Below are 13,105 nucleotides of genomic sequence, written 5' to 3'. Positions count from 1 at the left end.
ATATCTGCTTACATCATAACCAGCCAGTCCCGGTTCTCCTTGGGCCCCCATGCGTCCCGGAGCACCCTACAAGAGGAGGAGACCCTCGTTGGTATGGAGTGTGGCTCTCACAGCGGGGACACAGCAGTCTCCCTGCAGGCTCCAGCCCCGCTCCGCCCAGCAGCCTGGCACATCCATGCCGCCCATAACCAAAGTGTGTGAACAAGGCGGAAAGCCAGTAACATTATCCCTCCTCCCTGGAGTTCCCCACCCCTGCCCCAGCCCTCCTTCTCCTGGCTCCAGGGGTTCGAGACAGCTGATTGCTAAATTTTCAGGACTTTTACAAGCCAGTGAAACAGAGCCGTTATTAACAATTCAATTTTATGGACTTACAGTTAAATTAATGTTATTAAAAACAAAGATAGAGGATACTCAAAACTCATCTCCTCCTAGCCATTTTACTACATTTTCCTCCTACCTACACTCATGAGGTTATTTTGGTCTATTGCATCTGTGCGTGTTGGTGGAAATACTGCCTAAGGGAGGGCTGCCGTGTAACTCCTCCCCACTCTGCATTCAGTGACGTCATGTCAGTGGCTTGAAACCAGACATGGAGGGAGCATTTACACCGCAGAAACTGGCAAATACCACAAACCAGCCTGGTTGCTTAACCTTACACACAACCAGATCGGAGCTGCTGTGTCACCCTCTTCAGCCTCCTTCCCTGGCTTCCCCCTGGGGTCTTCATCTCCTGGAGGTATCAAAGCCCTCTGGGCCCCTTCCTTCAGAGCAGCCCAGCAATGCTGGGACACCCTCAGAGTCATCCAGGGACCTGCAGCAGCATCACTCCATTCCTCCTGAATCTATTTCCAGTGGGAAATCTCCTTGTTTGATAAAAACAGTTCTAAGAATCTGGTCCTTTCTCCCCCGATGCTAATAACAAGGCTTATTAATTTGGGTCCATAGAGGGCTTCAGGGGACCCACACACCCCTTCAAATTGCAGGAAGTATTCTGTGTGGTGTATACTGTTCCGGAGGCGGGGCTGCAGCTTTCTGCAGGTTACCAAAGCGATTCATGATTCAGAGAGGTGGCTGGGGCAATGAGCACCAGGTGTTCAGCTAATAGCTGGGGTGGGTGATAACAGCACAGAGAAGCCTGGTGTCTCCTTTCCTGCCCTTGGTTCCCTCTATTCCACATCTGACTCCCCCACCCCAGCCAGAGAGTCCTCACCGTTGGTCCCAGGCTGCCCCGGGACCCTTTAGGGCCTGGAGTGCCAGGGGGTCCAGGGTCTCCAGGGACGCCCATCTCACCCAGCTGTCCTTGATAGCCCTTGGCACCCTGCAACAGGAGGAAAGACAAGCTGTCACCAGGCCCAACAGGACGGAGGGTCCAGGGAGGGGAGGGATGTGGGGAAGGGATGCGGGGGAGGGACGCAGGCCTATCAAGTCAGAAGGGGACACCTACCTTGGCTCCAGTGCGGCCCTTCTCGCCTTGCTTCCCTGATTTTCCTTCAGGACCCTGAAGAGAGAGGAGGGACAGAGCAAGAGAAAGATGAGAGAAGAGAGGAAACTGAGGCGGATCCGCAAGGCGGTCAGACTGTCGGCTCTGGAGGCAGATGGCCAGGTTCGAAACTGATTCTGCCACCCAGTACCCACATGACCTTGAGCCTGACCTAATTTCCCAGGCTCAGCATCCTCTGCTGTGAAGTGGGGACAGTGTCACAGAACTTAGGGATTCGACCTGGCGATGTAAGAACGTGCTGACAGTGAGGCCTGGGTGCAGGGGTGGATGGCGGGTGCGGCTTCTGCAATTGCTGGCTTTGCTGTTGTCATGGTTACTGTTAGGCATCCAGGGGTGTCCTACAGGGAGCAACTCTCTGCACTGAGCTCTCTCCAGCGCCAAGTGCTGTTCCACCCTCCCAACGACCTTGAACATTAGGCCCCAATGAGACCCGCTTCCAGTTGAGGCAGCCAAGTTCCCAAAGATACAGTGACTTTTGCCCAGGGTCCCAGCTGCGCCTTGCAGGCCCTGAATCAATCCCAGCTGTTCTGGCTCCATGCCCAGGGCTCTTACCACCCCTGGCTCATGGTCCCCACTGATGACATGAGGTGGCAGGAGAGGATTTATAGGTTCTTCCCTATCTCTGAGATGTTGTGCGTCACTTGCGAGCAATTCCTGTGGGCATGTCCCTTGAACGGGCCCCTCCTCTCTCAGGGACTGGGCTGGAGGAGCCTCCTCACAGTAGGGAATTGTGCTGGAAAGGTCAGCTGCCTTCTCCCACTTTCCTTGGAGTCCCCAGGCCATTCCCTCTGACAGGCCACTCTGCCCCTGCCCCACAGGGCTTCCCAAAGAGATCCTCCGGCCTGATCTGCCCTGCCCTGCCCTGGGAGGGCAAATCCAGCTTTGTGTCCACAGTTGTCAGAGAAACTGCACAGCAAGGGTGAGTGAGTGTGTGCAAGTGTGAATGTGACAGTAAGAGACAGACACAGAGAGAAAGAGAAGAGAGAGAATCAATCCTGGGCCATACTAGGTCAGGATGGAGGGAGTGGGGCAGGCAGCGTTTCTGGCCTGGAAAGGACTTCTTGACTGCAAGCCTCAAAGGATCTAGAAAGAATGTCTATGCTCTTGGTAAGCACTAAGGAGCTGCTTTGATGTAATCCCTCTGGTTGCATTAACAGAGGCACCAGATGTAGAATGAAGGAGGTGATGTCCCATTTGGGAATAGGTATTGTACTTTAAGAAGAGGCACTGACTAATTGTGATAGAAGAGGGACAGGAAGAGGAGGTCCTAGAGGAACAAGGAAACATCTGGACCAACCCAGAGGACTTGGTTCCTGTCTGCAGATTTCTGCAGCTGTTCTGGAGGCAGGGCCAGCCATGTTCTCTAGGGTGGCCAGCGCATGAAAATTATGGGGCGGCTGGCTTTGATTCAGCACAAGGGAGAAATGTCTGCTCTAAAGACTAATGCGGCATCAACTATGATGCCAGAAAAGATGACGCTATCCCAAAGAGATGCACCAGTCAGACCACCCTGCGGTCCTCAGAAAGGCAGGAACAGTGGCCCGGGAAGGACCTCAGCACAGACTGCCTGCAACCCAGTGCCTGAGTCTACATGTACCCCTGGACAAATCCTGCTCTTTCTCTGAACCTTAGTTTCCCCACCTCTAGTATGGGACTAGCCCCGTGGCCTCCAGCCACATACAGCTACCGAACACTTGAAATCTGGCTACTATGACTGAGGAACTGAATTCTTAATATTATTTAACTTTAATTAATTTAAAATTAAATTTAAGGCTGGACACGGTGGCTCATGCCTGTAATCCCAGCACTTTGGGAGGCTGAGGTGGGTGGATCACTTGAGGCCAGGAGCTCAAGACCAGCCTGGCCAACATGGCAAAATGCTGTCTCTACTAAAAATACAAAAATTAGCCAGGTATGGTAGTGCACGCCTGTAATCCAGCTACCTGGGAGTGCCGAGGCATGAGAATTTCTTGAACCTGGGAGGTGGAGATTGCAGTGAGCACCACCGCACTCCAGCCTGGGCGACAGAGTGAGACTGTGTCTCAAAAGAAAAAAAAAAAAAAATTAAAAGTTGACACACCCAATTAGGTTGCTACAAAACTTGTTTGGAGTAACTTGGGTATATGAACCTACATTGTCAACTGTAAATTTTATGAAATCTAAATACAGATCAAGTATTTCCAATGAAATTTTATATACAATGAAAATCTAAACACGGATCAGGTATTTCCAATGAAAATTCACATCTGAATTGAGTATGCTATGAAAATATACTATACACTGGATTTCAAAGACTTACTACAAAAAGAGTGCTAAATATCTTATTAATGATTTTTATATTGATTATATTTTGAAATGATAATATTTGGATATATTGGGCTAAATAAACTATATTATTAAAATTAATTCCTTTTTAAATTTGAGACAAGGTCTCTCTCTGTTGCCCAGGCTGGAACACAGTGGCTCAATCTCAGCTCACTGAAGCCTCAACCTCTGGGACTCAAGTGATCCTCCCACCTCAGCCTCCCGAGTAGCCAAGACTACAGGCATGCACCACCACGCCCAGCTAACTTTTTAATTTAATTTAATTTAATTGTTATAGAAACAAGTTCTCACTATGTTGCCCAGGCTGGTCTTGCACTTTTAGGCTCAAACAATCCTCCCACCTTGGCTGCCTAAAGTGCTGGGACTACCAGCATGAGTCACTGCACTGGCCCTTAAAATTGAAGTTACCTGTTTCTTTTTGCTGTTTTTAAAGGTGGCTACTAGAAAATTTAAAAGGAGTGGCTTGTATATGGCTTGTATTTCATTTCTATCGGACTGCACTAGGCAATCTCAAAGTCTCCAGCTCCTCCGGTAATAAAACACCAACAATCCCTACAACCCTCACCACGGGCCATGTGCTGTGTTCTCATTCCACATAAATGTTTGTTCAATTCTCGCCAGTGTTTGGAGGAAGGGATTATTTATCCCGTTTTGGAGCTAAAGGAACTGAGGCTCAGTGAGAGGAAGCCCTCTGTGGGCCTCCCAGCCAGGTCAGAAGTGACAAGCAGCTCCTCCACTTCTGGGGCACCTCTCCTTCCAGGCTGGTCTTGGTCAGGCAATGGGGAAGCCATGTCACAGTGATTGGTGGCATTTTCCAGTGCACTGAGGTGGCGGCAATGGCTGACTGATCCCTTGCAGAAGGCGAGATGAGTCAGTGCTGAAGCATCCGGTACAGGGGCAGGGAGACGGGAGGCTGCGTCTCCCCTGGGACAGGGTGCCACTTGCTGGGACGTGCCCTCTCCAGCCGAGAGCATACATACAGTGGGTGAGGCTGTGGGTCCGGAATGAATATTTCTGCTGGGCCCCATCCATATAGATGCATTTCTGGAAAGGCCCCGATGGCTCATAAAATTCTGTTTTTAAATACTCAACTGTTTCCAGGCCACAGAGTGGGAGGTATTTATCCTGATGCCAAAGAGACTCAAGTAAGGCCCCTCACTGCCTTATCACTTGGCACACACTTCGTCTGGCCCAAGTGACTCTCCTTCCAATCCCGGCATATGAGAAATGGGAGTGATGGCAAAATATTGACATTAACACAGCTACCACCACCACACCACTACTATCATCATCATCACCATCATCATCACCACTACCTACGCCATACCACCATATCATCATCATCACCACTCCCACCCCCACCACTGCCATGACCACCATCATCACTCCCCTGCCATCACTACTACCATCACTACCACCCATCATCACCACCACTACCACTATCATTAGTACCACCACCACCATTATCACCACCACCATCACCACCACCATCATCAGTGCCCCATCATCATCATTATCATTACCACTATCACTATCACCACCACCATCGCCACCAGCACCATCATCACCCTCACCTCCACTCCACTATCACCATCGCCACCAGCACCAGCACCACCATCACCACCTCATCACAGTCACCACTACCACCACTACCACCATCAACACCCCCATCATCTTCATCATCATCACCACCACCAACACCATCATCAGTACTACCACCATCACCATCATTATTATCGTCATTACCACCACTACCATTGCTGCTGCCCCCACCCACACCATCCACTCACCATCACCACCAGCCACCACCAGCCTCTAGTCACTTTCTCCTCTAAATTTATAAAGACAATCTTCTATATTTCTGGTGCATTTTATAAAGTGCTTTCCTACCCTAAGTTTTATTTATTCTTTATAGATAAGAAAACCAAGGCTCAGAGAGGGGCAGTGATTTGCCCAAAGTCACACAGAGAATGGGTTACTAGAGCCAGAAACTCAAGTTCAACCTCAGGACTCTGGTTCCAAGGCTATTTCTGCCATGTGTTCCTGCCCATTCCACAGCCATGATACTCAACACTCACTAAAAAAGGGTCCCTAGAACGCTGGAGCTCAAAGTAATCTTAGCACACATTCCTTCCAAACCCTCCAAGGGCAAAACCAGAGAGGGCAGGGGGCGGGTGAAAGGTCGCAGACCAAGTTCCTAATGCAGAATCCTGGCCCGGGACCCTCCTGCTAAATTCCCCTTGGCCTACTTCCCCGCCGCTGAGTCAAGCCCGCCACTGAGTCAAGCCTGGGGGAAGCCTCCTGGCTGACTCAGCGCCCTCGTATTCTTCTCTAGTTTGGTGAGTTCATTCTGTTGCAGCTGTTTAGGGGGATTGGCACTTCAGTGCTATTTTTAGGAAACAAATATTTTCCCACAACCATAGTTTGTTGCAGGCTAACTTGGATCTGTCCTAGGTTAGTCATGTAAACACTTCAGGGGGGAAAAACAGTGTCAAGAGCAGGCCTGAATCAAACTGGGCTGCTTTGCCTAGGTAACAACGTCAGTCTCTCCGCTTGAGGGATGAAGAGTGAAAATGACACCCCAGGGAGACTGGGATGGCAGCAGAGGCATGAGTTCTCACCACCTGGTTGGCTCAAGGTAGATGCCAGCAGGCCTGTGCATTTGGGCATTTTGTCTACGAGGCCACCTAATCCACGGGTCCCAAGGAGTTCAACTGAACCGACCCAGCACTCCTGGGTCACACAAACCCTGCTCAACTGTACAAGACTACCACTGCCCCCCACTACCAAGTCAAGTTCCGAGTCATCAGTCCAGTATTTGCGACACTCAAAAATCAAGCTTCCACCTGCCTCCAGCTCATCCTCACAGCCCCACAGCCAAGCCCTGGATTCCAACTCTGCCAGAGCACAGGGGCAGTATGCGTAGAGTCATGCAGGCCTAAGTTCAAATTCCAGCTTTGTCATTTCTCACTGTGTGAGCCTGGGAAGTTTCCTTTACCTCTCCGATTTTCCCAATCCTCAGGGGTTGCTATCGGTATCAAAGAGGGAACCTTCGAGAAAGCATTGGGCAACTTGTCTGTACATGTTGAAACAGGAGAATTCTGCTCCCTTCCCTACTGGCTTCTATGTCCCTCAAAGTCAGGGATGCTTTCTGATTTACCTCTTCAATCTCAGGGGACCTGGCCCAGGGAAGATGCTCGTGAGGGTCTGTGGACTGACTAAGTACATTTCTGTTAGGGTGGAAGAGCAGAGTTCCTCCGTCTTCTCAATCAACAAACAGACTTTGGTCACCTCTTATGTGTCAGGTACTGGTTTTGTTGTTGTTGTTGTTTGTTTGTTTTTTTGTGACAAAGTCTTGTTCTGTTGCCCAGGCTGGAGTGCAGTGGCGCAATCTCAGCTCATTGCAACCCCCGCCTCCCAGGTTCAAGTGATTCTCCTGCCTCAGCCTCCTGAGTAACTGAGACTATAGGCATGCGCCACCATGCCTGACTAATTTTACATTTTTAGTAGAGACGGGGTTTCACCATGTTGGCCAGGCTGGTCTCCAACTCCTGACCTCAAGTGATCCACCCGCCTTGGCTGCCCAAAGTGCTGGGATTACAGGCGTGAGCCACCGCACCTGGCCAAGGCACTGTTAAAGACGTAAATGAAGGCCAGAAAAGGTCTTGGTCTTCATGGAGCCAAGACATACACTGAAGGTTATGCATGTCCCTGAGGGCTCATGGCCCAGCCTGGGGGCAGGAATGGCTTTTTGGAGCAGGTGATGTCTATGGTGATACCTGAAGGCCAAATAGAACTTAAGCAGGTGACAGGGGAGTGAAGAAGGGAGAGTGTCCTAGACAGAGCACATGCAAAGGCCCAGGGGTAAGGGCCACAGCTTGTCCAAGAAACTGAAAAAAGTTTAGTGTGTCTGGATATGGGGGATGGATGAGATGAGGTCGGCAGGGACCAGGTTTGCACAGGGCAGGGCAGCCAGGAGGATGAGTAACCGAGGTTGTTCTCCAGAGCCATGGAGCATTGAGCAGATTGGTTCTCTGGCAAACTGCCAGGTGGAGAAAGGACCACAGCAGAAGATCCTTCAGTGGCACGACCAAAAGCCCTCCCGCCCAGCCGCCTGCACAGGCATGAGAGTTCAGGGTACCCCAGAGCTCCAGGCGCTGCAAGGGGCCTGCACACTCACCCGGACACCAGTGACGCCAGGGGGGCCGGGGGGCCCGTCCTCACCCATCAGCCCTTCCTGGCCTTTCTCGCCATGTTCTCCATCAGGCCCTGGGTCTCCCCTGTCCCCCTGGGTGGCAGGGCATGAAGAGGGGAGAGAGAGAGAGAATAAGTTAGTTGCCAAGTGCATCAGAGGCCCCAAATCTCAGGGCTCCATTCAGGCATCCACAGCCAACTGGTCCCTAGATTCTCGATAGTTCCCTCTGCAGCCAAAAAGGCAGGGTGCTGTGACTCGGCTGCCAAGCCCAGTGTAGCTCTAAGCTTGCACAAGGATGCATCCCAGACGTAGAGGCTCCCATGTGTCCCTGCCTGGGCCTGGGCTGCGAAGGGCAGAGTGACTCAGAGATAAGCCGGGGTCCTGACTGCACCCACCCCATGGAGTTCACAGGAGACAAGGGCAATTTCTCTCCAACTTAGACACATTGGGAGAACAAGAGTCTTATGAAGCAGATTTTTTTTTTTTATTTTTTAGACAGAGTCTCACTCTCTCCCAGGCTGGAGTGCAGAGGCGCAATTATAGGTCACCGCAGCCTCGACCTCCTGGGCTCAAGCAATCCTCCTGCCTCAGCCTCCCAAGTAGCTGGGACTACAGGCACATGCCACCATGCCCAGCTAATTGAAAAAAAATTTCTTTTTTTGTAGAAATGGGGTCTTGCTACAAGAGAGCTTGAGCCCAGCAGTTGGAGACCATTGACCAGGCTGGTCTCCAACTGCTGGGCTCAAGCAATTCTCCCACCTCAGCTTCCCAAAGTGCTGGGATTACAGGTATGAGCTGCTGCAACTAGCTGAAAGAAATTTTCATCAAGAAAGAAAATTCACCCAATTCTCCTTCTCAGAACCACTCTTTCCATTTTTCTGAGTTGTATTTTCAATCCTCGATGACAAAAACACAGTGAATAATAATAATAATAATAAATGGTAGGTAACAGTTTGGATGGTATGTACCAGGCTCAGGGCAGTGAAGCAACTCTCCCAAGGCAATGAATCGGACAGCAGTAAACTAAGCTCTAAAGGCACAATCCCACTGGACTGCTGGTCTCCATCTTTGTTTGTTATAGTTACTGCTTTGCTCTATGGTGAACGTGCCCTCCTATCGCTCTGGGCTCTGCATGGCGATCATTCTTATTGGCTGCAGAATACTTTCTCTGGGGAGTGGATGGAGCTAACATTTATATAGCACTAACCATGTCAGGACCATAGTCTGAGTCCTTTAACATCTATTAACTGACTTAATCCCCACAAAAGCTTTCTAAGGCTGGTCCGCTTTTAGTCCCATTTTACAGAAGAGGAAACTGAGGCAGAGCTAAATCAAGTGGTCTGGCCCAGAGGCCCACAACTGGCTAGCGGTGGAGCTGGACTTTGAAGCAGGATCCTGAGCGTATCCTCTTTACAGTGATAGGGCTGTAACCAAGGTCTTCTTGGGGCTTCGGACCTTTGGGGCACCTGAGGTTATTTCCTTGGAAAGGCAACCCTTGGCATGGGCTTTTTTTTTTTTTTTTTAGACGGATCTCATTCTGTTGCCCAGGCTGGAGTGCAGTGGCATGATCTCAACTCACTGCAACCTCCACCTCCCAGGTTCAAGTGCCCCCGCCTCCCAACTAGCTGGGACTGCAGGCACGCGCCACCATGCCTGGCTAATTTTTGTATTTTTAGTAGAGACAGGGTTTCACCATGTTGGCTAGGCTGGTCTCGAACTCCTGACCTCAGATGATCCACTCACTTTGGCCTTCCAAAGTGCTGGGATTACAGGTGTGAGCCACTGCACCAGGCTGGCATGGGCTTTTTATGGTTTTGAAGCAATCAGTGTCACTCTAAGCTTGCCTTATCTCATCACGGTAATCTTTGCGTACTCTGAGAGAGATTGGGGGCAGGTGGGGTTCCAGGATGGGGCATGCAGGATTCCAGGATGGGGCGTGGGCTGTCACCCTCATCACCGTGAGCAGAGCAGGTGTGGAGTGCAGCACGGGCATGGCTGCTGAGGGGCGGCGTCCATCAGGAAGGGATGGGCGAGAAGAGCAGGCTTGGAAAAGCATAGTGTGTCTTTACCAGTTCTGTCCCCCAGTGCCAAGGTTTACGAGGGACACTGATAAACTGGTGTGCATCCAGAGGAGAGAGAGCACAGGAAGCAGAGGGCATGAAGCTGGAGCCTGGGGCTTGGCCCTGCCTAGAAGAGAGGCTCAAGAAAGCAACTCATGATTGCTCATTGCTTCAAGCTGGGCCTGCTGAGGCCTGAGCTCTGGGGCAGGAGGTGGGTGTGAGGGAGTTGCTGGGGCAGTTTCTAGTTCAGTTGGGAAGATTTTCCAATGGAGCGGTCCAGAGATGGCACAGATAAAGGCAGAAGACTCCGAGCTGAGGCGTGGGCCAATGTAGAGCAGATCTGGGCACAAAGTTGTGCCCGGATCCCTTCCTGCTGGGAGCCTCAGCTTCTAAGCACAGCCTGGCATGAAGACAGGGGGCTGGCCTGAATAACTCTCCTGCAGACTCCTCTGGCTCTGGGATTCCATTTCTGGCTTGTCGTCCTGGCCACCTGTTCTCCTCTCAGAGGCAGACAGCCTGTTCCAGGTGGCTAGTCGGGTTTTCAACAAAGGGCCCTCACCTGGGCTCTGCCTAAGACCACACTCCAGGGGCTAACTGGACCCCTGGGGTGGGCGTCCTTGTGAATCTCATGCAGAACAGTCTCTGGGGGTTCCTAGAGATGCCCCAAATCCTCAGACATCTGCCAGTGCTCAGAGGAGCCTTGCAAGTCACCTTCCTTAACCCTCTTCAGTTACAGATGGGACAACTGAAGTGCAGACAGGTGGAGACTCCCTAATACCACCGAGTGAGTCAGTGCTGTGTGAACCTGGGGTTCTGGCTCCTTCTAATTCCAAGATTCTCTGCTCAGGGGACGATGCCTCCCTCAACCCTCGGGTTATGCTGCCTAAGTTCAAATCTTGCTACCGCTACTGAATAGTTGTGTGACCCTGGGCAAGTTTCCTCGTTTGTAAAATCAGGATCAAAGGATTACTGCAAGGATTGAAAGAGATAAACCATGTAAATAGCTTAGCAGTGTGTCTGGCATGTGAATGCTGGATAAAAGCTAACTATTATTGGTCACCACCACCATCATCACTGTCAGCTGGACATCAGCGAAGAGATAACGGGTGTAAAAGCACTCTATAAACTATGAAGTGCTGTGCATATTCGAGACGCAGTTTTCACCATGAGGGGTGATTCCTGGACAAACACCTTAAGAAAATGGGTCTCTCCTGGGATTCATGTAAAGACCAGGGAAGATGCTGTGCATTTGAGCACAAGGACTCAGGTAGAATTGGCTTTGAAGGGAGGGGAAGAGGATGAAGTCAGGGCCAAAAAGCCATGCAAGGTGGAGGCAGAAGACTGCATGAGGCACCCAGGCTGGAAGACCCCCTCCCGCCCACCTCAGTGGACTTTCCAAGAAGAAAGGTGGCCGCCCAGAGTGGAGTGAGAAGGCTGCTGCTTCGTGCCTCAGTTTCCTCATCCGTCTAGTGAGGATGGTAATGTATCAAGCTTGGGAGAGTTGCTGGGAACATTAATTATTAAATGGGTTAATTCACATAAAGCCCTTTGGGTGGGTGGCACTGGGCACATGGCAAGTGCCCAAAGCATTTTAGCCATGACCTTCATCAGCATCACCACCCAGTGTAGCAGGCACTGGCAAAGGGTGTGGAGCAGCTGTCAAATGCTCCGGGTCTTGGGACTCGGCTGTACGCTTGGATGCAGCAGGGTTGGGGGAGAGGAGTCAGGCAGATGACAGACAGGGGGTGCTCTCGCTCTTGCAAGAAAATGTGAGGAGTCAGCAGGGGCCGGTCGCCAAGGCACCCTGGGAGACTGTGGGGAGGGGGTAACGAGGGTGGGCGGAAGCCTGTGGATGGGGAAACTGAGGTTCAGAGAAGGGGTCTGCTTCTCTGAGGTCACCTGGAGAGTAGGTGGGCGAGAGGGCATGGCCCTTAGGAACCTGGGCTGGGGAGCTGACTTGCACAGGGTGACCGGCCAGCCTCGGGGAAAGCCCACCTGTGGGGTCAGAGCGGGGCCCAAGACGGAGGCCAGGGACTGGCCTGGAGATGGGTCTGGAGAGTCAGAGGGAGGTGCCCGCCTGCCCACCTGCAATTCAGGTGAGCTAAGGTGTCTCTTCAGAGTCCTGACATTTGTGGCTGACAGGAGTCTCTCAGGGAGCAGCAGGGTCAAGTTGGGCCAGCAGGCTTTGGCACCTGTGAGCCGTGGGTTTGAATTTTGGATCCTCACTCATAGCCATAGGTCCTGAATGTATCTATGCCTTCCTCTGAGCCTCAGCCTCTTCGCCTTTAGAATGGGTGCATGGTACAGCAGAGTGAGCAGAGGCTTTGGAGCCAAACGGGCCCAGATTTGGGTCCTGGATGTGCCAGTTGCTAGCGGTGTGTCCTTGGGCAAGTTGCTTCACCACTCTGAGTCTCAGTTTCCTCATCTAAAGACAGAACTTCCGTTGTCCTATGGATCCAGCTGGTAAAGGGCTTAGCGTTGTACCTGGTATGTGTGTGACTAGTCCTCCCTAAATTGTGGCTTATAAGTCATTGGTGGTAATTATTATTTTCCTGACCTTCTAGAATATTTGGAAGATAACAGAGACCAAAGACTCTGGCTCTGGGCCTGGCGTAGTGCCGGTGCTCAGGAATCACCCTTAGCCAAGAGAAGCTGATATTTTAAGAAGGGTAGCAGGAAAGACTGGAAGGTGGTGATGGCCCTGGTCCCACCTGAGCAGGTAGTGCAGAGGGCAGGGTGGGAGGTGGCTGCTGGACACTGCTGACCCTTCCCCAAGCTGCTGTCAATGGGAGCTGGAGCTGTCATCTCAGATCTCTATGGGAACACAGTGTTTCTGGGAGGAGACTTAGGTCTTGGATGGGAAAGCAATGCCCTGCCGGGGTCCCCAGGCCCTGCCCTAAAAGGGCACTTACCTTCAGCCCATCAGGTCCCATGGGGCCACTGTCACCCTCAAGGCCTGGCTCTCCCTGGAAAAGGTGATGGAGAAAGAGGAGGAGATGTTACTGGGGAGGAGGCCCCGGTGTG

General features: G+C 51.6%; 1 protein-coding gene across 13 annotated transcripts in view, besides 3 other annotated features; it reads right to left on the bottom strand.

Annotated features, from left to right (window-relative positions):
* The window catches only part of COL27A1 (collagen type XXVII alpha 1 chain), a 158,414-nt gene that overhangs the window by 28,737 nt on the left and 116,572 nt on the right, over window positions 1-13,105 (bottom strand). For 11 of the 13 annotated variants that reach the window (XR_929860.4, XM_011519138.3, XM_047423992.1 and 8 more), the window contains 5 exons: window positions 12,994-13,047; window positions 8,007-8,114; window positions 1,445-1,498; window positions 1,211-1,318; window positions 13-66 (listed from right to left, as the gene is read on the bottom strand). Coding sequence is in view for 12 of the 13 variants with exons in the window: in XM_011519138.3 (XP_011517440.1) it covers window positions 13-66; window positions 1,211-1,318; window positions 1,445-1,498; window positions 8,007-8,114; window positions 12,994-13,047 (378 nt within the window). In the remaining variant the exon portion in view is untranslated. Of the gene's footprint in view, window positions 1-12; window positions 67-1,210; window positions 1,319-1,444; window positions 1,499-8,006; window positions 8,115-12,993; window positions 13,048-13,105 lie in introns of those variants that run through there. The other 2 variants (XM_011519142.4, XM_017015239.2) reach the window with 2 other exon arrangements.
* Window positions 1,674-2,486: an enhancer, noted in NCBI's record as "H3K4me1 hESC enhancer chr9:117043569-117044381 (GRCh37/hg19 assembly coordinates)". NCBI's record gives its function as "activates a minimal SCP1, AML or CMV promoter by ChIP-STARR-seq in naive H9 embryonic stem cells {active_cell/tissue: H9 hESC(naive)}" and the evidence as "EXISTENCE:reporter gene assay evidence [ECO:0000049][PMID:30033119]".
* Window positions 5,978-7,177: an enhancer, noted in NCBI's record as "BRD4-independent group 4 enhancer chr9:117038878-117040077 (GRCh37/hg19 assembly coordinates)". NCBI's record gives its function as "activates an origin of replication core promoter dependent on BRD2, P300/CBP, MED14 and CDK7 cofactors, and independent of BRD4, by STARR-seq in HCT116 cells {active_cell/tissue: HCT116}" and the evidence as "EXISTENCE:reporter gene assay evidence [ECO:0000049][PMID:35650434]".
* Window positions 12,371-12,540: an enhancer, noted in NCBI's record as "experimental_106356 CRE fragment used in MPRA reporter constructs". NCBI's record gives its function as "activates a minimal promoter by MPRAs in K562 erythroleukemia cells, with activity observed for the introgressed 9:117033600 variant allele {active_cell/tissue: K562}" and the evidence as "EXISTENCE:reporter gene assay evidence [ECO:0000049][PMID:34662402]".

The sequence above is a fragment of the Homo sapiens genome, chromosome 9, assembly GCF_000001405.40.
Source record: "Homo sapiens chromosome 9, GRCh38.p14 Primary Assembly".
Lineage (NCBI taxonomy): Eukaryota > Metazoa > Chordata > Mammalia > Primates > Hominidae > Homo > Homo sapiens.
This window is presented reverse-complemented; position numbering and strand designations above follow the sequence as displayed.